At 54.4% G+C, this 24,797-nt stretch overlaps 2 protein-coding genes and 1 long non-coding RNA gene across 4 annotated transcripts, besides 5 other annotated features; 2 read left to right on the top strand and 1 right to left on the bottom strand.

Moving 5' to 3' along the window:
- Nucleotides 1,620–2,329: a silencer, noted in NCBI's record as "silent region_1698". NCBI's record gives its function as "represses an Ori minimal core promoter by ATAC-STARR-seq in GM12878 lymphoblastoid cells {active_cell/tissue: GM12878}" and the evidence as "EXISTENCE:reporter gene assay evidence [ECO:0000049][PMID:35858748]".
- ARL8A (ARF like GTPase 8A) lies at nt 1,820–13,153 on the top strand. Of its 2 annotated transcripts, NM_138795.4 has the most exons (7): nt 1,820–2,107; nt 8,109–8,189; nt 8,519–8,592; nt 10,757–10,850; nt 11,031–11,098; nt 11,337–11,407; nt 12,041–13,153. In NM_138795.4, the coding sequence occupies exons 1-7, from the start codon at nt 1,985–1,987 to the stop codon at nt 12,088–12,090; spliced, it is 561 nt and encodes a 186-aa protein (NP_620150.1). In that variant the 5' UTR covers nt 1,820–1,984; the 3' UTR covers nt 12,091–13,153. The 2 variants fall into 2 exon arrangements, with proteins under 2 accessions (NP_620150.1, NP_001243058.1); NM_001256129.2 differs by lacking the exon at nt 11,031–11,098.
- Nucleotides 2,830–2,879: a silencer, noted in NCBI's record as "silent region_1697". NCBI's record gives its function as "represses an Ori minimal core promoter by ATAC-STARR-seq in GM12878 lymphoblastoid cells {active_cell/tissue: GM12878}" and the evidence as "EXISTENCE:reporter gene assay evidence [ECO:0000049][PMID:35858748]".
- Nucleotides 11,001–11,208: a silencer, noted in NCBI's record as "fragment chr1:202104477-202104684 (GRCh37/hg19 assembly coordinates)". NCBI's record gives its function as "represses an EF-1alpha promoter that drives an FKBP-Casp9 reporter gene in an ReSE screen in HepG2 liver carcinoma cells {active_cell/tissue: HepG2}" and the evidence as "EXISTENCE:reporter gene assay evidence [ECO:0000049][PMID:32094911]".
- GPR37L1 (G protein-coupled receptor 37 like 1) lies at nt 12,965–23,640 on the bottom strand. Its single transcript, NM_004767.5, has 2 exons — nt 22,964–23,640; nt 12,965–18,816 (listed from the first exon to the last, which is right to left on the bottom strand). Exons 1-2 carry the CDS (start codon nt 23,591–23,593, stop codon nt 18,001–18,003), a joined length of 1,446 nt encoding a protein of 481 aa, NP_004758.3. The 5' UTR covers nt 23,594–23,640; the 3' UTR covers nt 12,965–18,000.
- Nucleotides 15,107–15,890: an enhancer, noted in NCBI's record as "H3K4me1 hESC enhancer chr1:202099795-202100578 (GRCh37/hg19 assembly coordinates)". NCBI's record gives its function as "activates a minimal SCP1, AML or CMV promoter by ChIP-STARR-seq in primed H9 embryonic stem cells {active_cell/tissue: H9 hESC(primed)}" and the evidence as "EXISTENCE:reporter gene assay evidence [ECO:0000049][PMID:30033119]".
- Nucleotides 15,891–16,674: an enhancer, noted in NCBI's record as "H3K4me1 hESC enhancer chr1:202099011-202099794 (GRCh37/hg19 assembly coordinates)". NCBI's record gives its function as "activates a minimal SCP1, AML or CMV promoter by ChIP-STARR-seq in primed H9 embryonic stem cells {active_cell/tissue: H9 hESC(primed)}" and the evidence as "EXISTENCE:reporter gene assay evidence [ECO:0000049][PMID:30033119]".
- LOC105371683 (uncharacterized) lies at nt 20,839–22,970 on the top strand. The gene is made up of 3 exons (XR_922422.3): nt 20,839–21,015; nt 22,499–22,606; nt 22,824–22,970. It is a non-coding gene; the product is annotated as an uncharacterized LOC105371683 (long non-coding RNA).
- Nucleotides 23,641–24,797: the final 1,157 nt, after the last annotated feature.

Raw genomic sequence — 24,797 nt, 5'->3', positions numbered from 1 at the left:
TGGAGGTGGAGGGTGCAGTGAGCTATCATGCCACTGCACTCCAGCCTGGATGACAGAGCAAGACTCCATCTCAAAAAAAAAAGAAAAAAGAAAAAAAGAAATGTGTTGCTCACAGTTCTGGAAGCTGGGAAGTCTAGGATCAAGACCCTTGCAGACTCAGTGTCTGGCTATTAGGCAGAGCCTTCTTTCTGTCCTTGCATGGTGAAAAGGTTGTGGGCTGGTATTCTTCCCCCTAATCCCACCGGCCCCCTTTATAAGGCTCTACCCTCATGACTTAATCACCTCCTAATACCATCACTTTAGGGATTAGGACTTCAACCTATGAATTTGGGGGGACACAAACATTCAGTCCATAGCCTTTATCTTAGGAGCTAGAGGAGGACTTATAAAGGGCAGAGGTTAGAAAGATGGTGCTTAATAAACCAGAATATTGGCCAGGCTCATGCCTGTAATCCCAGCACTTTGGGAGGCTGAGGCAGGCAGATGGCTTGAGCTCAGGGCTTCGAGACCAGCCTGGACAACATGGCAAAACCCCGTCTCTACCAAATATACAAAAATTAGGCTGGCATGGTGGCGCATGCCTGTAGTCCCAGCTACTCGGGAGGCTGAGGTAGAAGAATCACCTGAGCCCGAGGAGGTGGAGGCTGCAGTGAGTCGAGATCCCACCGCTGCACTCCAGCCTGGGCCACACAGTGAGACCCCATCAAAAAAAAAAAAAAAAACAATATTATGCTAGCCGAAACCTTGTGATTCTTCTACTTTGGTAACTGTTTGACTATTTGGGGTCATCTAACTCCAGTTGATTGGACAGATATGGTTGATATTGATAGTTTACCCACTTTTGACTAAAACAATAGACTACATATGACTACATTTGAAAACCAAACCCCAACGGGCAGCCAGCATAGGCTGGGGACTGCCCGAAGCCTGAGCCTACCCGGGACTGCCAGCTGAGGTTGTCAGCCTGCCTGAGCAGGTCCTATGGGTGGGTCTTGCAAGGAGAGGGGCAGGAGTAAGGCATCTTTGCAGGCACTCCAGACCCACTTCAAGAGGAGAACTATCACTTCTCCTCCTGAAGAATACTCTGCTTTTCACCAAAACAGGGCAACATTTTCCTTTGTCACAGACGTTCCTCACTGAAAACCCCCTGCCAGGACTGTATCTGTTTGGGTATCTTGGGGATGCTGGTAAAAATCCGGAGCAAGTTCAAGCGTCCGTTTCACTTGGGGCCAGAGGCTTCCTAACAAGTGGTCGGGGTAAATTGTGGTGAACAAAACAAGATGGAGTATTAAAAGACCCGAATACGGTTGTCCCTCTGCACTGGGTGCATTTTGAGAGGATGGGACTGTACCCAGGAATGCTCAGAGGCAAGGGTTCAGGGACAAAAAAGCCTCCATCTGCCTCCCTGTCGTAGAGATCTCATCTCCGTGTCCTGGGAAGTGGGTGACCCACTCTCCTTCAACCTGAAAAGGCTCCTGCTTAACCGGAACCTCACCCACCTCGAGCCCACCACCCTTTAAGAAAGGGGGTGCCAGTCAGGGCGCGGCAGTCGGGGACAGGGTCTAAAATAAATTAGACCCCATTTCCCAAGCGCCTCTCGACGCCAGCTGCCGGTCAACCCCCGCCGCTGAAGCCTGCGGATTCCCTGCTCACCCCACCTGCGGATTCCCTGCTCACCCCACCTGCGGGTGCGGCCCCTGGCCCCCCGGCTCCAGCGAGGGAGGAGCGCGCGCTCGGGTGCGAGCAGGACACGGCCCGGCCGCGAGGGAGGGCGGCGGCGGCGGCGGAGGAGGAGGGCGCGGAAGCCACACCCATCGGCGAGCCGATTCCGGGGCAGCGAGTCGTCGGCAGCCGCGCTCGAGCCTCCGCCCGCACCGAGCCGCGGGACCCGGGCCGTACCGGGGAGGGGCCGCTCCGGGCCGCAGCGCGAGGGCAGCGAGGGGCGGCGGGGACCTGGCACCGGGCGGGGCCGGCGGCAGCGACCATGATCGCTTTGTTCAACAAGCTGCTGGACTGGTTCAAGGCCCTATTCTGGAAGGAGGAGATGGAGCTCACGCTGGTCGGGCTTCAGTACTCGGGCAAGACCACCTTCGTCAACGTGATCGCGGTACGAGGGCGTCGGGCGCGGGGTCCCCGGGCGCGGGCCGCGGGTCGGGCCTGTCCCCGCCCGCGCCGCGCCCTGCTGAGCCGGGGTCGCCGCCTGGCATAGCCGGGCACGGCCGGGCGCCGGGCGGGGGAGGAGCCGGCCCCGAGCGCTTGGGGCCTAGTACGGCCCGTGCCGTGGGGGACCGGGGCGGCGCGCGACCCGCTCTCTCACCCGGGCCGGTACTGCACGGCTGGGGGCAGGGGAAGGGGGACGAACAGACAGGGCCGGTGCCACGGGGCAGGCGGCACCGAGGGGCTCTCGAAGCAGGAGGGACCCGCTGCCGGCTGAGACGGGCCCCCTCTGGCCCCCGCGCAAGGGGGCATGACGGGGCGAAAGTGCACGGGCCTTCCTGTCCCGCGGGTAGAGGGTCACGGGACGGGGCGGCCGAGAGGCTTGAGGAGGGGGTTTGGGCAAGCCCAGCCCCACCCAGAGGGCTTAACCCCTCCTTGCCGGAAGAGGAAGCCCCGGCCCTATTGAGGGGGAGGGGAGGTATCCCCCGGGGTAGAGGAGTCAGCTGAGGCCCTTGGCTCAAGCCCAGACTCCTCCCCAACTTCTCCCCGACCCGCAGTGTCTAGCCGGGGGTCCAGGGAGGATCGCATGGTAACGGGAGTTTGGAGACTCCGTCTGGCTCAGAAGTTTGCAGGAGCAGGTGCTCCCGACAAGAGAGGATGAGGTGTAGGGGCACGGCCCACTGGGGCCTTGGGAGAGTGGCTCTAAGGGCTTTGGGTCGTCAACACTGAAGTGGGTGATTGTAAGTCTTTCAGCGCCAGGGGAGTGGTGGGGAAGGAGTTAAAATCTCTCTCAAAAAAGGGGAAGATGAGCTCCATGGGTGTGAGCTGAGGCTGCCGTAATGGCTGCGGCCTGCCTGTCAGAGCCAGGCTAGACAGGGCTTGTGGGTCGAGGAAGCATGGGACAGGGGCTGGGGTTGTCCAGGGACCTGGCCCCAGTCCCAAAGCTGAGGTTTCCCACAACTGTGAGTTGGCCAGATAGTAACCAAAGATACTGATGAGATAGGTCAGCAGAGGAATGTATCCAGCCGGCCTAGGTACCTCTACCTGTCCGTGTTGTTGCCCCACCTTGCAGAAGATGGGCCTCCTCGACAGTTCTCAGCGTCCTAGAAGGCAGGGGACGTCACTTCATTGGACCTGAGGCATGAAGGCAGATGGAAAGCTCGAGGGGCGGGCATCCTGTGGTTACACAATTGAACACTGGCTTCCTTTCCCAAACATGCTCTGCAAATGACCTCTGCCCTTTCTCGACCCAGTGTCTCCTGTCTCCTGACCTGACAGGGCAGGATCTTCAGGCCAATGCTGCGGTTTTGGCACAGTAATTTTCGGAGCTAACACCCCTGGGCTCTGTCTGCCTAGGCTCTGCCCTTGGGGTCAGAGACCCTCTGGTTAAACTTGGCATTGACTTAGGCTCTTGGATTCCCAGAGCAGGCACATAACACCTGGACTCTGACCTGACTCTGCAGGCCTAGGTGGCTTGGGTTCTAGGCGTTTAGGTCTGAGAAATGCAGCTGGGCCTAGGTATCTCCTCGTTCCCCAGGGTGTTACTATAGCTGTGCTCTGGGACAGGGATCCACAGGTACCCGGGTGGGTTCGGTTTCTGGGTCTGCAGTTGAGCCTTTGACAGGAGGGCCCCCTCTAGACCAGCATCATATCCAGAGAGTTGGAGACTATAGCAGGCCAGAAACAGAACCCAAGAGTCCCAAATTCCCCTGCCAGGGTCAAGAGTTCCTGTGATATACAGGAAAAGCACCCCATCTCCAGCCCACAAGGTCCCCTTTTTAATCTTAAATTTGCCACTTCCGCTGGCACATTCTAAAAGAGCAGGCAAGCTAAATTCCCTTCTTTAGAGAGGCTTCCCAAGGAAAACCACCCCATGTGGGCTGCAGTTGGAATTCCAGTGTCCCGGTCACTCCAGTGTTTTCAGATCCTCTGGGGCTACCACACTGGCATTGCTGCCCACCCCGTGTATAATCACAGTTGAGTGTCTTCCAGAAAGAAACGAAGAGTTGGGACCCCTGGGCTCTGTTCCCATGCCTACCACTGAATTTCTGAATTACCTGTGCCTGTTCATTTGGCCTCTGTTTGTCTCAGATCTTTCGCCATTGGGTTTTTTCTACTCACCCTATGAGGTCTGGCTGTAAATAGAAATTGAGTTTAGTGTGTCTAGCTGCTCAGCAGGTTAATGTGAGCTGGAAAGAAATTATATACACTGCTTCTAAGAACCTGAAACATCAGCCGGGCATGGTGGCTCACGCCTGTAATCCCAGCAATTGGGAGGCCAAAGTGGGGGTTTCACCTGAGGCTAGGAGTTCGAGACCAGCCTGGCCAACATGGTGAAACCCCATCTCTACTAAAAATACAAAAATTAGCCAGGCATGGTGGTGGCCACCTGTAATCCCAGCTACTTGGGAGGCTGAGGCAAGAGAATTGCTTGAACCCAGGAGGCGGAGGCTGCAGTGAGTTAAGATCGTGCCGCCACTGCACTCCAGCCTGGGCAACAAGAGCGAAACTCCGTCTCAAAAAAAAAAAAGGAACCTAAAACATCCTTTGAGTTCTGAAAAAGTTGTGATGCTAGAAAAGTGGGAGATGTTTTGTCCTAGGAAACAACAGGGTCATTTTCAAATATTTAAAAGTGTCAAAGACTGTCCTATGGAATAACTAGTCTTGGAGTGCCCAAGGGGACTTAGGAACAATGGGTGGACATTCTAGGAATGATAGATTTTTTTTTCTTTTTTTTCTTTTTTCTTTTTTTTTTTTGAGACAGAGTGTTGCTCTATCACCCAGGCTGGGAGTGCAGTGGTACAGTCTCGGCTCACTGCAACCTCCGCCTCCCAGGCTCAAGCAATTCTCCTGCCTCAGTCTCCCGAGTAGCTGGGATTACAGGCATACACCACCATGCCTGGCTAATTTTTGTATTTTTAGTAGAGATGGGGTTTCGTCATGTTGGCCAGGCTGGTCTCGAACCCCTGACCTCAGGTGATCTGCCTGCCTCAGCCTCCCAAAGTGCTGGGATTACAGGTATGAGCCACCATGTCCGGCCGGATTGTTAACTCAATATAAAGAACTTTCTGATAGTTGGAACTGACCCAAGAGGGGATGGGGCAGAAGGGACTGAAGTCTGAGACAAGAGGTTGGGCTGCATGACTTCAGGTTACTTCCAACCTTAAATGAGGAGCCTATGAGACAGGGAGGCATTAGCAGGGAAATTAAGTCATAATCTGATTCCACCTTAGCTCCGATTCACAGCTGAACAAGACCTACTGGTGCCGGGGAGCCTGGCTCCTTGAAGGTCCTCCCAGCATCCCCCTCTGCCAAGGTCACATTCTGCCAGGCTGGGCTTCTCATTTACTTGGTAGCCTGTGGATCTTCTAGTTGCCAAAGAGCAGTGATGGTTCCCCATGCTATATCGAAACCATTTCCAAGCATGTTGTGAGTCTTATTTACAGTTCCTAGGAGACCGAAACCCTTCTCCCCAGTTTTACATTCAGAAACACTGAGGTCCAGAGAAGTTCAAGTTTCTTATCCAAGCACCCCCTGGGATGAGAGACAAACAAGAACTGGGCCTCCTTCCTCAGACTCTATTGTTGGGGATGGGGTAGACTGCAGCAGGCTGCCGGGGTTTGGGTAATTACAGCACACTTAATTCTCCCTGCTTAGCTAGAAGAAGCCATTCCCTCTTCCTCAGTGGTTCCTAACTTTGGGGGCTCTCAGAACTTTTTGATATCTGAAAGAAGTGAGAGACCCTTTCTCCAGAAAAATGTACACACAAACAAAACTTTGCACACACACAGATTGTGTACAGTTTCAGGGGGTTCAGGGGATCTCTGAAGCCCAACTGTGGACCTCAGGTTGGAAACCGCTGCTGGACCTTGTCATTGGGTGTCAGTCCTGGGTACTCAGTTCTTATATCATCCTAAGGCCCTGATGAATAGGTGGTTCCTGCAGATAAAAGGGAATTGGGCTGGGCGCGGTGGCTCACGCCTGTAATCCCAGCACTTTGGGAGGCCGAGGTGGGCGGATCACGAGGTCAGGAGATCGAAACCATCCTGGCCAACATGGTGAAACCCCGAATCTACTAAAAATACAAAAAAAAAAAAAAAAAATTAGCTAGGCATGGTGGCACGCGCCTGTAGTCCCAGCTACTTGGGAGGCTGAGGCAGGAGAACTGCTTGAACCCAGGAGGCAGAGGCTACAGTGAGCCGAGATCACACCACTGCACTCCTGCCTGGGCGAGAGAGTGAGACTCCGTCTCAAAAAAAAAAAAGGGAATCAAAGCAGTCTATTCAGATGGGATATCAGGGGTCTTCATGTGGACATGGAGGCACCAAATAAGAGCCAATCATCTCCTACATCTTGGCTAATGGTCAGGGCCCCTGATCTCTTTATGTAACCCAAGGCAAATTATTCCTACCAGCTGGTGGGAGAAAAAGGCATGGTAAAGGAACAGGGCTTGGCCGGGCACCGTGGCTCACCCCTATAATCCCAGCGCTTTGGGAGGCCCAGGTAGGCAGATCACTTGAGGTCAGGAGTTCAAGACCATCCTGGCCAATGTGGTGAAACCCTGTCTCTACTAAAAATACAAAAATTAGCTGGGTGTGGTGGCACATGCCTGTGGTCTCAGCTACTGGGGAGGCTGAGGCAGGAGACCCTCGCTTGAGCCCAGGAGGCAGAGGCTGCAGTGAGCTGAGATCACATCACTGCACTCCAGCCTGGGCCATAGAGCGAGACTCTGTCTCAGAAAAAAAAAAAAAAAAAAAAAAAAAAAAAGGAACAGGGCTATCACCCTCAGGTTCAATGTTGAATGAGCCTCATCTTTTTTTTTTTCTCAAGCCGGAGTCTTGCTCTGTCACCCAGGCTGGAGTACAATGGCATGATCTCGGCTCACTGCAACCTCCACCTCCTGGGTTCAAGCGATTCACCTGCCTCAGCCTCCCAAGTAGCTGGGATTACAGGCACACGCCACCACACCCGGCTAATTTTTTGTATCTTTAGTAGAGATGGGGTTTCACCATGTTGATCAGGATGGTCTCAAACTCCTGACCTCGTGATCTGCCCCCTCAGCCTCCCAAAGTGCTGGGATTACAGGTGTGAGCCATCGCGCCCGGCCGAGCCCCATCTCTTTAGCCTGCTTCCAAGGGATAAGCAGAAGTGTCCTACCTGTGAACATGGAGATATGACCTGGGAGGGAGTTGGGTCTGGCCTTATTTGAAGACTGTAGGTAGTTTAGAAGAATCCAGAAATCCTAGAGACAATACAGAATGGATTTTGGAAAATGGAATTACAGTCAAACCCCCAGTATTCAGCAAACATTTACTAATGGTGTTACTATAGACCTGGGTCCTCTCCCAGGAAGTGTTCTTTCTAGTGAGGAGACACATAGATAAATAAGCAGACGATATAGAGTGTAGGTTATCCTTCCCAATAACTGGAGTACAGTACAAATAAACTGAACCATGGATAATCCAGAAATTGCTTGGCATGCACTGCATTTTCAGGATGACCAATATACTCTGCCCTAAAAAGTTTGATTTTTTAGTTTGAAAATTCATCTGCTTTCTTTGAGATCCTCCTTAACTATTAGAACATGACTTGCTTCAAGTTCTCTTGCTGGAAGGTAATTTCTTCTTCCTCTCCACTGGAGAGAAAGTGGCGTCAGTTACTACAGAGAGATGTAGGTTAGACTTGAGGAAGAATTTTCCCCTAGTCTAGGCAAAGAGATTGAGACTGTCTGACAAAAGCGGGTCTTTTCACAGGGCATCCCCAGGTGTAGGCGGGACACATAGGTTGGTGATAGCCCATCCTGCCTGAAAGCACAGGATGTGCAAGAGTACCCCACAGTGGGAAGTCTAGGAAGCTCTGGCCTGGCCTCTGCATGGTTCTCGCAGCCTCTTGGTCTGCGGTGGGGGCATATCGATTTTTGCACTGTTTCCCATTCTGAGTCTTCTTTCCAGTCAGGACAGTTCAACGAGGACATGATCCCCACCGTGGGTTTCAACATGCGCAAAATCACCAAAGGGAATGTGACTATCAAGGTGAGGGCCCAGAAGCTTGGGGGGTGCAGAGGACTGTTTTTGTGTGTGTGTGTGTGTGTGTGTGTGTGTGTGTTGGGGAGGGCAACGGAGGCCCCTGGGAGGAGCGAGCTGAAGTGGGGCAGAGGCCAGGGTCCCCCTGCTGAGGAGCTGGGAAAAGACAGTAGAAGACTTCTAAGGTAGACGGAGAGCGGGTGGAGACGGGGGAGAACTGGAGAGGAAGCCGGGGAGGCAGAGGAGAGTAGGGCAGGGTAGGAGGGGGCATTTGAGACCCAAGACACGTTTTGGTGGCCTGCCCACTACTGAGGCTATCTCACCCTCTTCTTGCTCAGCTCTGGGACATTGGGGGACAGCCGCGTTTCCGCAGCATGTGGGAGCGCTACTGCCGAGGAGTGAGCGCCATCGTGTAAGTACACGGGAGGCATCGCCAGACTCCAGCCTTACCCGGCCCCCCTAGCCCTGCTACCTTCGAGGACCTCAGAGGCGCAGGGTTTTATTAGACATAATCCTTGGTTCATGACACAGTGTCGGTCCAGGGCCTGCGTTTATTTTGCATGCCACTTGTTTCTTATTGGATAAATGCCCTGGGCACTCACTACCCAATCTAAGAAACAGACTATAGACTATTAACCAGCCAGATGCACCTGTGCATCCTCTTCATTGACTTGTCTCCCTCCCCTCAACCCAAAGTCACCACTGTCTTGAATTTTGTGTGGTTTAAATGATTCTTTTTTTTTTTTTTGAGACGGAGTTTCGCTCTTGTTGCCCAGGCTGGCGTGCAATGGTGCGATCTCGGCTCACCACAACCTCCTGCCTCCCAGGTTCAAGCGATTCTCCCACTTCAGCATCCCAAGTAGCTGGGATTACAGGCATGCGCTACCACGCCTGGCCACTTTTGTATTTTTAGTAGAGACAGGGTTTCTCCATGTTGGTTAGGCTGGTCTTGAACTCCCGACCTCAGGTGATCTGCCTGCCTCGGCCTCCCAAATTACATGCATGAGCCACCGCGCGCAGCCCTCTCTTGCTTTTTAAAAATAATGTTTTTTTTGGCTGAGCATGGTGCCACACACCTGTAATCCCAGCTACTTGGGAGGCTGAGGCAAGAGGATTGCTTGAGCCCAGGAGTTTAGGGCCAGCCTAGGCAACATAGCAAGATCCTGTCTTTAAAAAAATAAAATAAAATAAATTTTAAACATTGAAAAATGGCAGGGCATGGGCTGGGCGCGGTGGCTCACGCCTGTAATCCCAGCACTTTGGGAGGCCGAGGTGGGCGGATCACGAGGTCAGAAGATCGAGACCATCCTGGCTAACACAGTGAAACCCTGTCTCTACCAAAAATACAAAAAAAATTAGCTGGGCGTGGTGGCAGGCGCCTGTAGTCCCAGCTACTCGCGAGGCTGAGGCAGGAGAATGGCGTGAACCCAGGAGGCGGAGCTTGCAGTGAGCCGAGATCGCATCACTGCACTCCAGCCTGGGCGACAAAGCGAGACTCTGTCTCAAAAAAAAGGAAAAGAAAAGAAAAGAAAAATGGCAGGGCACAGGGGGAGGCCAAGGCAGACGGATTACTTGAGGTCAGAAGTTCAAAACCAACCTGGGTAACATGGTGCAACCCTATCTCTACAAAAGTACAAAAATTAGCTGAGCCTGGTAGCACGCACCTGTAGTCCCAGCTACTCAGACGACTGAGGTGGGAGGATCTCTTGAGTCCAGGAAGCCGAGGCTGCAGTGAGCTGTAATTGCACCACTGCACTCCACCCTGGGTGACAGTGAGACCCTGCCTCAGAAAATAATAGGCTGGATGCGGTGGCTCATGCCTGTAATCCCAGCACTTTGGGAGCCCGAGACGAGTGGATCACAAGGTCAGGAGATTGAGCCCATCCTGGCTAACATGGTGAAACCCCATCTCTGCTAAAAATACAAAAAATTAGCCGGGCGTGGCGGCATGTGCCTGTAGTCCCAGTTACTTGGGAGGTTGAGGCAGGAGAATCGCTTGAACCTGGCAGGCGGAGGTGGCAGTGAGCTGAGATTGCACCACTGCACTCCAGCCTGGCAACAGAGCGAGACTCCATCTCAAAAATGATATTAATAATAATAATAAAATTTATTCTATATATATATGCCCAAACAATAGATTGTTTAGAATACACAATAGGTTGCTTTTTAACCTGATAACAAAAAGTATCTTGCTAAAAGAAATCTTCTAAGGTTTCCTTTGCTTTTTTCACTCTAACCTTATTTAGTCTTTCCATGAAAACATAAGTGGGTCACTTTGAGAGGGACTTACAGCTAATCTCAAAGGGCCCACGCTTTTCCACATGAGTAACGGCTTCCCCAGAGTAGCACTTGGAGGCTAATGGCAGGCCTAAGGAGTCCCTGCAGCTGTTCACTCCCATAGACTCAGAAAACATCCGCGGAGCACCTGCCTTGAGCCAGGCCAGGTAGCCCATGGATCCCGAGGTGACCAAGCTGCAACAGATGCTTTCACCTCCAAGCAGCAGCTCCTTCTCTTCCTTGCACCACCTCAGCCTGTGGTGTCAACATGCTTGTCCCCACCCTGCCTCTTTCCCCAGGTACATGGTGGATGCTGCTGACCAGGAGAAGATTGAGGCCTCTAAGAACGAGCTCCACAACCTACTGGACAAACCTCAGCTGCAGGGCATCCCGGTCAGCAGACCTGAGGGAGCGGGATGGGGAGGGAGCTCGGCTGGGAAGTCACTGGGAGCAGGTAAAAGCCAGGCATGGTAGGGGCGCAGAGAGGAAACGGGACCCAGGAGGCCAGCTCACCACCCAGACAACCTGGGCACGGCTGCCCTAGACCTCATCCTCACCCTCCCTTCTCCGTAGGTCTTAGTCCTGGGTAACAAGCGAGACCTTCCGGGAGCATTGGATGAGAAGGAGCTGATTGAGAAAATGTGAGTTGGGTGACTCTATATTACTTTCTGCTCTCCCAATTCCCCAACCACCAGACCAACAGCCTAGGCTTGCTGCTGTTCTTAGTATTAGCCACACGGTGGCAGCAGAGCCGACCTTTTCAGGCACCTCACCCTCCCCTTTGTAGCCTCTTAGGTAAGAAAAAGGCCCCGCTGTCCCCTAGCCCCAGGCCCCCTGGACGTTCGTAGCCTCAGCGGACTCTACTCTGGTTTCCCCCAGGAATCTGTCTGCCATCCAGGACCGAGAGATCTGCTGCTACTCCATCTCTTGCAAAGAAAAGGACAACATTGGTGCGTAGGATGGGGGAAAGGGAGGAGAGGGGAGAGGCATTTCTGAGTGTTTTAGTGGCTCTCAGGTTCTCGCTCCACAACTTTCCCTGAAGTCCAAAGCCCTGTGGCTCTTGGGTAGAAAAGGCAGCCAGGTGGCCCAGATTCTGGGCACTATCCCAGCTTGTCGCCAAGCGGTTGTGTGATCTCGGGCAAATCGATCCCCGCTCTGGGCTTCACCTCCTCGTTTCTAAGATTCCAGGGCTGGACCCGGTGATTCTCAGGTCCCTGCTGGCTCTGACATGCTGTGGCTCTGTCTCTTTCCCAGCACCTGAATTCCGCTACTACTCATTCAGGGCCATGTGGCGCTTGCCAGCTCTGGACTTCTTGTTTGTTTTTGAGAAAGTGTCTCGCTCTGTCACCCAGGCTGGAGTTCAGTGGCGTGACCATAGCTCACTGCAGCCTCCAACTCCACTCCTGGGTTCAAGCAATCCTCTCACCTGAGCTTCCCATGTAGCTGAGACTCCAGGTGTGCGCCACCCCTCCTGGCATCTCTGGACTTCTGATACCCTTAGGTTTGGTTTCTTGGGCCTCTCTGCTGCCCCAGCACGGCCAGTACTTGCAGGCCTTATAAGCTGTTCTCTTTTCTCCTATCAGACATCACCCTACAGTGGCTTATTCAACACTCGAAGTCACGGAGAAGCTGAGACTCCAGCCCTTCTCCCTCAGACCAGGGACCGTCATCATCTAAACCTGAAGCCGAGCTCCCCGCCCACCCCTGTCGTCCCCCTAAGCCCACCCCTCCTCACCCAGTGTGAGGAGGGCCCTCTGGGGACCCCAGAGTCCTGTTCTGCTGAGGTTTGAACTCCTGTTTTTATTGTAAAATAAATTGCCCCCCATTCTGGTCCCCTAACTTCTCACCCTTCCCCGCTGCCTTTGTCCCATCACCCAGCCCTGCCTCCCTCCCAGCAGCCCTGGGCCACAGCCCCCGCCCCTGGCTTTTCCCCGGCCCGCTCTTGTACCTCCCTTTTCAACACTCTCTGTTATTGTCCTGTGTGTACAGTATATATATGTATATATATTTTAATTTTTTAATTTAAGCAAAGACTAAAATCAACCATTTGATGCTGCAGGGGCCTTTCAGGATCTGGGAGGGGGCAGTCTGGAGAGAAGGAGGGAGACGCAGGTGGACTTGGGGCAAGTTCAGATCAGAAGAGGTGCAGGCTGGCACCTGCGGCAGGTACCAGCCTGGGCACTGGTGGCCGCCTCCCTGTCCCGTGTGTTTCCACCGCCCAATCTGGCTTGTCCTGGCAGTGCTTGAATGCCACAGGCTGGCAGGGGCCTCTGGGGGCCCCTCCCCTCGACCCCCAGCCTGGGTAGAGCCACCAGGTACGACGACCAGGTACCAGAAACCACCAGGCACACGGGGCAGAAAGCCAGCGTCCATGCCCCAGCAGCCCCCTCCTGCCTGTTCCTGGCTCCCAGCTCCCGCCCCTCCCCAGGGCCCCCACCTCCACGGCCCACTTCATTTTCTGTTCTCATTTTGCAGAGTTGCACAAGGAGAGAACTCAGCATGGGGGGTTGGTTCTTTGGGTTCTGTTTGTTTATTTGTTTAATTTAATGATTTGTAAAGTGATGTTCCTCTTCCTTTTTTACACTTTTCAGCTCATATTTAACCTCTGTTTGGAAAATGATTCTTGTAACTGTACATTTTTTTGCTTCCTAATAACAATGACAACAAAAAAAATAAATGACCAGTTTTGTGTTGGGGGGGGTGTATGGTGCTGGTTACTTTTCCGCAGTTGGCATGGGTTGCCCTACAGGCCCACAGGGCCACCAGCACACCCCCGCACGCTGGGCACCAACAGAGCCACGGAGCGCGAGCACATGCCCGCCCGGGGAGCACAATGGCGCTGCACAAAACGGCCTCCCACACGTGCGTCCAGGCTCTTGCGCCACCTCCTTCTCATTCTCTTTTCAGACTTTCATGTAGTCCCAGCTTTGAGCCAGCAGCTGCCACTTGGGGCTGCAGAGCTCTGTTGAGGGAACTGCCCAGGGCTGGGTAGAGGCAGCAAGGGGACAGGGCTGGGTGCTGTTGTGTGCGAACTGAGCTGCACTCTCCTTAGGCCCAGTTCAGGCCTCAGCCCCTCTTTCCCAGGCCCTGGATCTCACCAGCAGCCAAGGTTGAGCCAGAACCAGAACCCTGTCCCTCCGGCCCCCAGTTCCTACCCCAGAACCAGTTAACTGTGCTTCAGGGGTAGGGCTGGGCCCACAGAGCCTGGGGGAGTGTCACCGCCTTTGCTGCCTCTCAGTTAGTGTCAATGCTATGGGTTTCCTGGTAGGAGCCCTGCCCTCGCTCCTCTGCTGGATTCTAGTCCCCCACCCGACCTCACCGTCAGAGCTGGTCCTCCCTCGGCACTGCTCACAGCTGCTGCCTCAGAGCCTGGTGACCCTGCCTGCTCAAATCCGAGGCCATCTTGACCCAGTTTCACAGTAAGCCCCACCTCCTCCCGCTCCACCTCCCTCGGCCTCTCCTTCACCCTGGAAAATGGAGCAGGCCCTTGCAGAACACCCCAGCCCTTCTCACCCCTCCCACTGCAGGAAAAAGGAGCCAAACTGTCCCTTAGTCCTGGGAGTGGGGACCTTGACTCCCCGTCCTGGGCCCTCCAGCCCCTCACCTTCATTGGTGCCCAGGGCTTCCTCCTGGAGGCAGTCATCAGACCTGTCAGAGCAGTTCCCTGCCTGGAGAGGCAGTTCCCCACTGCCAGAGAGTTGGAGGAAAGAATGTGGATGGAATTTGGCATCTGAAGCTAAGTGATTCTAGGGTACCTCCCAACTCCTAAGCAAAATGGGACATGTCCTCCTGGCTAAGGAGGTTGAATGGGAGCCAGGGCTCTATCCCCTGCCCTCTCCTGACTGCAAGCATGGCTAGGTTTTCCTGGGCCTGGGATCCCGGGAGAGGACCAGCAATCTCACTCATCTGGGGCTGTTTCCAGGCCAAGGTGCCTTTCTCAGATCCTGTGATCCTCACTGAGGATTGAGGTTTGAGATAAGAGAGCTGGTTACCAGGAAGCAAGCAAGCATCCTCCTTCCACAGTGCCGGCGTGCAGCAGGTGCTAATATGACTTAAAGAATTTGTTCAGGGGCCAGGTGCTCATGCCTGTAATCCCAGTACTTTGGGAGCCCGAGGTAGGAGAATGACTTGAGTCTGGGAGTTTGAGACCAGCCTGGGCAAAATAGTGAGACCCTATCTCTACAAATAATCAAAAATTAGACAGGCGTGGTAGTGCGCACCTGTAGTCCCAGCTACTCAGGAAGCTGAGGCAGGAGAATCGCTTGAGCCCAGGAAGTGGAGGCTGCAATGAGCTGTGATCACACCACAGCACTCAGCTTGAGTGACTGAGTGGGATCTTGTCTCAAAAAAAAAAAAGTGTTCAGCCAGGCATGGTGGTACACACTTGTAGTCCCAGCTACTCAGGAGGCTGAGACAGGAGGACTGCTTGAGCCCAGGAGTTCAAAGCCAGCCTGGGCAACATAGTGAGACCCCCCCACCCAGCTCTTAAGAAAAAAAAAACACACATAACCTATTAAAGTTGAATGGGAACAGACCATGAGTATAGGTAAATTGTCATGTTTGGGGCCCTTTGATGCCAAAACCTGGATGCATTTAAGAATCCCTGGGCCAAGCCTGCTCCTAACACTAGAGAATTGAATTCCCAAAGGAGAGGAAGGAATAAAAGGTTCGGGGCACCATGCAAAGTGCTTTATGTATCTTGTCTCATTAAATGACCATAATCCTCTGTGAAGGACAGATTATTCCCATTTTACAGATGAGGAAGCTGAGACTGAGTTTAAGTAATTGCATTCAGTTCCAGGATAGGTGATGAGAAGGTGACTCCCAAGTGGAGCAGGGAGACCCAGTGGATTTCAGGCTCCCCTCAGCCCTGTAACCTGGCATCAGGATCTGAGGGCTGGTCTGAAGTCTGCCCTCGGGTGAGCGTGTCAGTGCCCCCTCAGACCATCCCAGCTCAAGTCCACTGCCCACCATGTGCCAACCCCCCCGCAAGCCTGGGACCCCTAAGCAACAAACCCTACATTGTTCCCCCAGCTGGCCCAGGCTGCGAGGACAGTGGCTCTTTCCCAAGGCCGCTGGCCTGCTGACTGATTCTGCAAGCCATTCACGTTGGCAGGCTTGGGAGGTGGCGGTGGCAGAGCCTTGGAGCCACCATCTCTCCCCCTTCATCTCTGAGCCGGCCAACCAGCAGGAGGGAGAGGTGGAGGGCACCCTTTGTGGAGGAGGACCCCTAAACAGGATGTTGAGGGGTCTGACTCCCCTGCCCTGGACTTCACCTCAGTTCACCCGGCCCCTTCCTGCATCCCTTAGGAAGCTGGTGGTACTTCCGGGCCTGGCAGGGGGGTGGAGAAGGAGTTGGGGAAATGCCGAGGAAACGGTCCCCAAGAGCTTCAGCACGACAGGCCTGCCTTTGGTCCCCTCTCCAACCTGCTCCCCCACCCATCTGAAGTTTCTACAGACAGAGCTGGGGGCTTCAGTCACCGTGGCAACAGGTCTGCTGAGAAACGGGTGGGTGTCACTCCCCAGCACAAAGGGTGTGTGCATGGCGGCGCCATCACCTAGCAACGGCCTCCCTCTCTCTTGGCGGCATCACCCGCCCTGGGGGTGGGTGCCAGGGAGAGAGAACAAGGCCGTTAAGATCCCCAGGAGAGGGGGAGGGAAGCTTGGGTACAGGGCAGGCTGAGGCCAAGGGGTGTGGGTGGGTGGACAGAGGAGAATGGAGCCCCAGGCGCTTGGAAACCCTGCCCCTGCCCATCCCTGGGCCCCCGGGGCCCTTCCTGAGGCCCCATGTGGATGCTGTAGGTAGGCCTGGTGGGCAGAAGTCTGGTGGGACCCAGGACAGAGCTTCAGACAGGGGGGGTGGTTCTGAGGAAAGCTGAGCTCCCAGGCGGGGAGCGACTGGTGGCCTGGCTGAGGCATCACTTCTGGTTGATGCTGTGCCAGCTTCCCAGGGACCTACAAGGCTAAGGGTGCCCTCTGGAAGGGACCAGAGGTGGGGCTGGGGGAAGTGGCACTTCAAGGGCAAGACCCCACAGGAGAAGCTGCATGAAGGGTCTGCCGGGGGCAGTGGGAGCTCTGGCGGGAAGGGTGGTGCAGTGGGGGCTGGGTGGGGGCAGGCCAGGGCAGGCAGCTGGGCCGTCTACAGGCAAAACAGTCCATTCTAAGAAACTGAACAAGAGCAGCTCTCAGAGTGACAAAGGCTGGGAAGCCCTGGGGCTCACAGAGGAAAGACCACTGGACTCCCTCCAAGGGGGGCTTTGTGGAGAGAGGGCATAGCAGAGATGAAGGCTCCAGAGGAGATATTTTCCAGGCTTTTGACTTCCCAAGGAGCATGGGGTTTAGGCCAGGATGAGGACTTAGGTCCTCCGGCTCCCCAAGCCCTCCATCCTCTCTGTCCCTCAAAAGCCATAAAACCCTTGGAGTCGCCAGGGCCACAAGGCTGTTCTGAACATCGGCCACAAGGCTGTTCTGAACATCAGCCACAGGCCAGGCCAGGTCAGGAGAAATTCTCCTAGGCACTGCCAGGCCAGGAAGGCCCAGCTGCATCTGGGCCCTGCCAGAATGTGGCACAAGAAAGTGGATGGGCATAGGGGTAGTTCTACCTAGTTTATTGTTTCTCAAGAAGGGCCTCCTATGGGAAAGCACCTAACAAGGAGGTTGGGACAGGGCAACCCAGGGATCCCAAAGAAAGGAGGAGGAAGGAGAGAGAAATCCTCTGGAAGAAAAGAAGGCACCAGTAGGAGGAGGCATCCAGGACTGGGACAGATCTGGTCCAGAGAAGAGTGTACTGGGGCTGGGCGTGGCAGCTCACACCTGTAATCCCAGCACTTTGGGAGGCCAAGGCAGGCAGATCACTTGAGGTCAGGAGTTCAACACCAGCCTGGCCAACATGGTGAAACCCCGCCTCTTCTACAAATACAAAAATTAGCCGGGTGTGTTGGTGCACACCTGTAATCCCAGCTACTCAGGAGGCTGAGGCAGGAGAATCGCTTGAACCCAGGAGGCGGAGGTTGCAGGGAGCTGACATCAGGCAAATGTACTCCAGCCTGGGCAACAGAGCAAGACTCCATCTCAAAAAAAAAAAAAAAAAAAAAGAAGAGTGTGGTGAGCCACACTGGGCTGGCCCCAAGGAGCCCCCATTCCAAGATGGGGCCCCAGGTTGGTGGTAGGAGGATGATGCCTGGGAAGGGCACAACTAAAGTATGGTCAGGTTCCAAGGCAGAGAGAGAGAAGAGAGACTGGAACCAAGGGAGGGCAGGCAAAGTTCTGGCTCCCAGCTGCTGGGACTCAGAGTTTCTGGGCAGTTCTAAGGACCTAGAAGCATCACCGCCCACCAGTGGAAAGGACAGGGTTGGAAGGCCCCACAAGGGACAGGAAAGGCCCTGTGTGGGGAGGGGGCTTTGACATTCCCAAACCTTGACAAGAGGAACCAAGTCCATCCCTAGACAGCAAGACAGGCAACAAAGCAAGACCTATGGGGAAAGAACAGCAGACACCGGCGGGGGTGGCGGCCTCTCCCTCCCTCCCCACCCCTACTGGGGCCTCAGCAAGGTGTGCCCAGGGGCAGGAGTGGGGGTGACTCCCTGGGCTTGTGGAAGTAGATGGAAGAGGACACCTCGGTCTTGAGCTTGTTGTCCGACCCATTGGCAGCAGAGGCCTCCGAAGCCCCGCCGCACTCCTCACAGCAGCAGCAGCAGCAGCAGTCCAGGAAGGCCTGGCCCAGCGGCCTGCAGATGCAAAGGAGCAGCACTGGGGTGATGGCGCCCTTGAAGAAGGTGGAGAACTGGTTGATGAGGCCCAGGAGGTCCAGGGTCTGGCGGGTCAGCTCGGTGGAGAGGTAGGCCACCACGATGTTGCAGACGTTCTCTGGGAGGGTGCAGAAGGCGTAGACCACGGTCAGGCCCACCACGGTGCTGTTGAGCTGGCTCTCACACTGCTCGTGCTTGCTGGCCCTGCACTCTGACTTCCTCCCTGGAGGGCCTCGCACCCGCCATGTCACCAGCTGGCAGGTGACTGTGAAGAGGATGGGCAGGCAGAAGTAGCAGCCAAAGTACCACCACATGCGGGCGTTCTGGTAGGTCATCACCAGTGAATACAGGGACTCGGGCAGGCTGGCTGAGGGTTTCATGATGCATGAGTCCAGGGTGCCCATGGTGGGGGCAGGCTCCTGTGCCAGCTGCCACAGCAGGAGCTCAGGCACAGCCAGCGTCATGGAGCCCACCCAGATGACAGCCAACTTGGCCAGGATGGATTGGCACCGCTCGATGGGCCTCACCTTGGGCAGGGTGCTGGTGGCCACGTGGAAGCGGTCAATGCCCAGGGCACAGAGGCTGAAAGTCGTGACTCCCAGAGAGGAGACCTGTGGGCAGGATGTGAGGGAAGAGAGAAGCACTTGGTCAAAATCTATGGGGACAAGGAAGGACACCTGGCTTCTGGCTCAGTTAGACCATGAATTGAGTGATAAGCATAGAAATTATAATAATGGGCCGGGTGCGGTGACTCACACCTGTAATCCCAGCACTTTGAGAGGCCGAGGCAGGCAGATCACTTGAGCCCAGGAGTTCAAGGCCAGCCTGGGCAACATGATGGAACCCTGTCTCTACTAAAAATACAAAAAAATAGCCTGTCGTGGTGAGGCACGCCTGTGGTCCCAACTACTCGGGAAACTTAGGTAGGAGGATGGCTTGAGCCTAGGAGGCTGAGGCTGCAGTGAGCCAAGATCACGACACTGCACTCCAGCCTGGGTGACAGAGCAAAACCCTGTGGAAACAAGGAAGGAAGGAAGGAAGGAAAGAAGGAAGGAAGGAAGGAAGGAAGGAAAGAAGGAAGGAATTATAATAATGGTAACAACTCCATTTAATGAGCATTTCCTATGGGTCGGGCACTTTACGTGTCATCACATTCCCAATCAACCACCTTACCATTGAAAAAGCTCAAGCTCAGGCAGGAACAGTGAATTGCCCAGGACCACACTGCTGATGAATGGCGGAGCTGAGGTTTACACACATGTCTGCCTCCTTCCCCCTTGTTCTTTGCCTCTCAGGCTGGGGGATGAATGGCCTGGCTCCCATAGACCCTGATGCTCTCTGACAGACTTTGGAAAATCATCTCCAAGGAAGAACCAAGATAAAGACATAGAAGTTCTGGATCTTTGCAGGTCCTTCCACTTCCCACACCCCATTATCTGCATGCCTGGGATGAATGGTCTTGGGGAACATGGCTTACGCGTGCACACACACACACACACACACACACACACACGCACGTTTCTGCTCCTGGCCCTGTCCGGAGAAGCCCAGGACCTGGCTGTGTGGGGAAGTGGCCCCCCTCTGAGCAGCCAGTGCCCACCATGCCCGCACTCTATTCATCAAGCGCGTGGAAAACCACCCTGTGAGCCAAGAGGAAGCAGCCCGAGCGGCAGGGGAGGAGAGTGCCAAAGAGCAGGAAGGAAGAGGGGACCCTCCCGCACCATCAGACGCTGCTCAGCCACACTCAGGGATTGTGCTCAGATCCCCCTCCTGTCCAAATTCTTCCCTCTTCTGGCTGGGGGAACACAATCCCCAGCTTTTAGCACAGCCACCAAGTGTTCTTTGTGGAAACCCCAACCCCCTCTCTTGGCAGGGGAGCCCAGGCCTGCAGAGGCACAGGCTTCAGGCTTGGGTAGAAACGCCATTCTCTCTCCTTTTTTTTTTTTCCGAGAGTCTCACTCTGTCGCCCAGGCTGGAGTGCAGTGGCGCAATCACAGCTCACTGCAACCTCCACCTCCCGGGTTCAAGTGATTCTCCTGCCTCAGCCTCCCGAGTAGCTGGGATTATAGGTGTGCGCCACCACACCCAGCTAATTTTTGTACTTTTAGTAGAGATGGGGTTTCACCATGTTGGCCAGGATGGTCTCGATCTCCTGACCTCGTGATCCGCCCACCTCGGCCTCCCAAAGTGCTGGGATTACAGGGGTGAGCCACCGTGCCCGGCCCTGCCCTTCTATTTTACATCTCAAAAATATCTCAAGTTTTATTCCAAGCTGCCCTCTCCTGCTCCCTCCTCAGGACCATCCTGAGATCCTCCCTATAAAAGGGTGTTGCTGGGCGCGGTGGATCACGCCTGCAATCCCAGTACTTTGGGAGACCAAGGCAGGCAGATTGCTTGAGCTCAGGGGTTGGAGATCAGCCTGGGCAATATGATGAAACCCTGTCTCTACCAAAAATACAAAAATTAGCCGGGCGTGGTACCACACGCCTGCGGTACCAGCTACTTGGGAGGCTGAGGTGGGAGGATTGTTTGAACCTGGGAGGCGGAGGTTGCAATGAGCTGAGATTACACCACGGCATTCCACTCTGGGTGACAGAATGAGACTCCGTCTCAAATAAAGAAGAAGGGTGTTGTGGGTGACAGAGTGAGACTCTGTCTCAAAAAAAGAAAGAGTGTTTTCTCCCTCCACCTGTCCCACCACCCAGCCTAGAAGGAAGACTGTCTACCAGCCTGTGGATCATCTCTATCCTCCAGGAGGTGTGGAGGGGCTGGCCCAGGAGGACATTACATATGTCAGGACCCACAGTCAGGTAGGGCCAGGTGTTCATTGACCTACCAGCCACATGCAAACAAGAGGTCGTATGTGTCTGCCCTTTTCCCCTTCTCCTCTATACCATTTTAATTCTAAGCACTGTATAGACATCACCCATTTAATCCCTTAAGAATTCACCCAGATAGCTATTATTATTATTATCCCCAATTTACCAATGAGGAAATTGAGATTTAGGTAGTTAAAGTAATCTACCAAATCACACAGCTAGTGATGGGAAAAGCCCAGTTTCTAATCTAGTCTGCTCAATTTCAGAGTCCTGTGTCTAAGCATGCACAGCTCACCTGGGTCGTGAGCACAAGATGATAACTAAGAATGCAAAGCCTCTCTCCAGTTGCAGGGTCTTTTTTTTTTTTTTTTTTTTTTTTGAGACAGAATTTCACTCTGTCACCCAGGCTGCGCAATCTTGGCTCACTGCAACCTCTGCCTGCCAAGTTCAAGCGATTCTCCTGCCTCAGCCTCCTGAGTACCTGGGACTGCAGGTGCGTGCCACCACACCCGGCTAATTTTTTATTTTTAGTAGAGATGGGGCTTCACCATGTTGGCCAGGCTGGTCTCGAACTCCTGACCTCAAGTGATCCACCTGCCTCGGCCTCCCAAAGTGCTGGGATTATAGGCATGAGCCACTGTGCCTGGCACAGGGTCTTCTTTCAGGGTGGAGTAACTTTGTACCACTGTTAGTCAGTCTCCCTGGGTTGGGAAGGACAGGAAAGGACTGTACCCACTGCTGAGACACAGGGAGTCTGTCCAACTATGACATCATCATTGTTACATGGTGAGGTGGGGACAGACCTTGGAATAGGACCTGTGTCCGTAATGCTGATCCTGAGCCCTTCTCCGGCCAGGCAAGTCCCCCTTGTCATGCAGCATCATTCACGAAGGAACAGCAGCTTCACAGGGAGACCACAGTCACTCCATTACACTCCATGCAGCCAAAATTTGAAAGACTGTTTGCTTATTTTGTCTTACAGAGAGAGAGAGGGTGGCCTTGCTGTGTCTTGCATAAATGCACACATCAGTATGTTTCTGCAGTGTTTTAAGTTGTCTCTCTATGCTCTACATATCCTTTGACACCCATGGACTTATCGTAGACGCTACCAGAAGTAAGGGCATAGTGGTATACTTTAGAACTGTGAAACAGGCCAGCTGGAAGGACCATCTGGTCTACCCGCCCTGGTTGGGAGATAAAGAAATTGGAGAGGTAATGCAACCTGCCCAGTGACGCCCAGTATGTCAGTGGCAGAGCTAAGACTAGAGCCCCCCATTAGTTCCAGTGCCCAGAACCAGGTATCCCTTTCAGAGAGGATCTAGGAAGTTGCTGATGGAAATGACAACGATAACAATGAGAATCCCAGCAGGGAGGGAAGAACGGAGCGGTCTTTTGCTTCTGGTGCTTGTATTCTCATGGAGTGGATGCTGACTTGATCCAGAGGGGTGTGAAGGAAATTGGGCTCTCCCTTCAGGCACTCCTTCAGGAGGCAGGAGACGGAGGAGCAGCGAAGGAAGCTGTGGGAGCAGGGCAGCGGCAGGGGGTACAGAGGAAAGAAGAGGAGTCACAACAAAGGACAGAGGTATCTTGGGTGGGACAGGGGAGAAGGGCTGAGGAAGGGAGAGGGCAGCTTAGGGTCTGGAGAAAGTGGCAAAGGCCTGCCTTGAGGTTGCTCCCGAAGCAGAAGATCAGGCTGGGGCTGGAACCCAGGGGCCCCACACACCCGCCTGTCCCCCTGGCCTGCCTACTTCTCTTGAGAGCAACCAGAAACCAATACCGTATTTGTCTCCTTCTCCAAGGTAAAGGAGGAGCAAGTCAGAGCTCCAAGACTCAGGTTTTGCACACCCACAAATTCCATTTCCAAAGACCTGATGGAGACTTTGAGTCCCTTCCCTGGATTGCAGCCTCCCAGCAGAGCTCAAACAGAACACACACTCACCTCCATGAAGGGCACGGCACGACAAGAAACGTCACCCAGTAGCCTCTGCTTGGTGATCTCGTTGAAGATGACAATAGGGAGGCAGAAAAAGAGGACCAGAAAATCCCAGAGGGCCAGGCTGGCAAGGATGGAGTTCCAGGCACTCTTCAGGTAGTAGCTGTGCCACACGATGCACATGACCGACAGGTTGCCCACAATGCCCACCGCAAACACCACCAGCGCCAGAAGCATGATGGCATAGGCACTGTAGGAGCTCTCGGTCACCGGATACAGGGGGTTCTGGATCTGTAGCCTCTGCCCTGGTGCTCCTGTCAGATTGCCCCTCAGTTCCTGCCCACTGTCTGGGGTGCCCCCATCCTTGCCGGGGTTAGGGCTGGTGGCCACCAAGGGCTTGGTTGGCTGCAGGCCAGCAGGGTGAATGGGCCGGGGGTACTCCGCCCACTCCTCAGGCACATACTGCTGCACGCCCTTGGCCTCCTCATCCTCGGTGCCCCTCTTGGATCGGCTCTGCTGCTCCTGGGTCTCGGCTCTGTGCCTGCCCAGGTGCAGGGGGGCACCCCCAGAGACCCTGCTTAGCCCCACAGCCAAAATCACAGCAAGAGAGACAGCCAGGGGCCACAGCCACCGCATGGCTGGATGAGCAGGAGACAGCCAGCCCAGGAAGAGCAGGTGAGTGCAGGGGGCCCAAGAGCTGGGCTCCAGAGAGGCAGCTGGCCGGCTGGATCCGCCTCCAGTCAGGCGTCTGGCATCACTCGCCTGCCCTCCCTCCCAGCCTCCGGCCACAGGCCGGGCAGGGCCCTCTGCTGGACACATAGCACTCTTTGCTGCCCTCACACATCTCGTCCTCCACGACGCCGCTTCTCAGGCCCTACAGCATGTCAGGCTGTGGGGCCCTAAGAGGGCATCTGCTTCAGGCCCCTGAAACTAGGGAGGAAATGTGGCCTGCCTAGGGTGACACAGGGAGGTGGGGCAGAATGGGAACTGGGGCGCAGGTCTCCTGATTCTAAGGCAGCTCCTCCATTCAAAACTCAGCAATAACCATCACTGTCACTTACTGAACACTTACTAGGTGCTAGCACTCAGCTGGTTTCTCAATTAACCCTTGATTAATCTCAGATCACAAATCTGAGGTTTGTAGAGGTCAGTCACTTGCCACATAGTTGATACAAGGCAGAGCAAGGCCCACAACCCAGATCTGACTCCAGAGATTTCTAATTTTTTTTTTTTTTTCGGTTGCCCAGGCTGGAGTGCAATGGCGCGGTCTTGGCTCACTGCAGCCTCCGCCTCCTGGGTTCAAGTGATTCTCCTGCCTCAGCCCCCTGAGTAACTGGGATTACAGTTACTGTAGTGCCCGCCACCATACCCGGCTAATTTTTGTATTTTTAGTAGAGACAGGGTTTCACCGTGTTGACCAGGCTGGTCTCAAACTCCTAACCTCAGGTGATCCGCCTGCCTCAGCCTCCCAAAGTGCTGGGAGCCACCGCACCCGGCCTAAAACACCATATTCTGAGCCAGACACAAGATGTGTGGACATTTGCAATAACACGTCTTTACTGACTACGTGTTGTGTTCCAGACACTCAGAATACAAAAATGTAAAGGATCTCTGCCACCAATGAGCTTTCAGTCCAGAGAAGGAAGTAAATGTGTAAGTTCAGCATGATAGATGCTATGAAAGGCAAAGGTCATGATGCTGAGGGAACCCAAGAAAATCTGGGGGGGATCTGGAAGGCCTCCCAAGCGAGGTGACATTTGAATGGATCCCGAGAAATGGCTGTGAGCTTGCCTGACAGACTACGGGAAGGGAGGGTGCTCTAGGCAGAAGACACAGCACA

The sequence above is a fragment of the Homo sapiens genome, chromosome 1 (genome assembly GCF_000001405.40).
Source record: "Homo sapiens chromosome 1, GRCh38.p14 Primary Assembly".
NCBI classification, from domain to species: Eukaryota; Metazoa; Chordata; class Mammalia; order Primates; family Hominidae; genus Homo; species Homo sapiens.
Note: the sequence above shows the minus strand (reverse complement) of the source record. Positions and strands in the feature narration are given on the sequence as shown.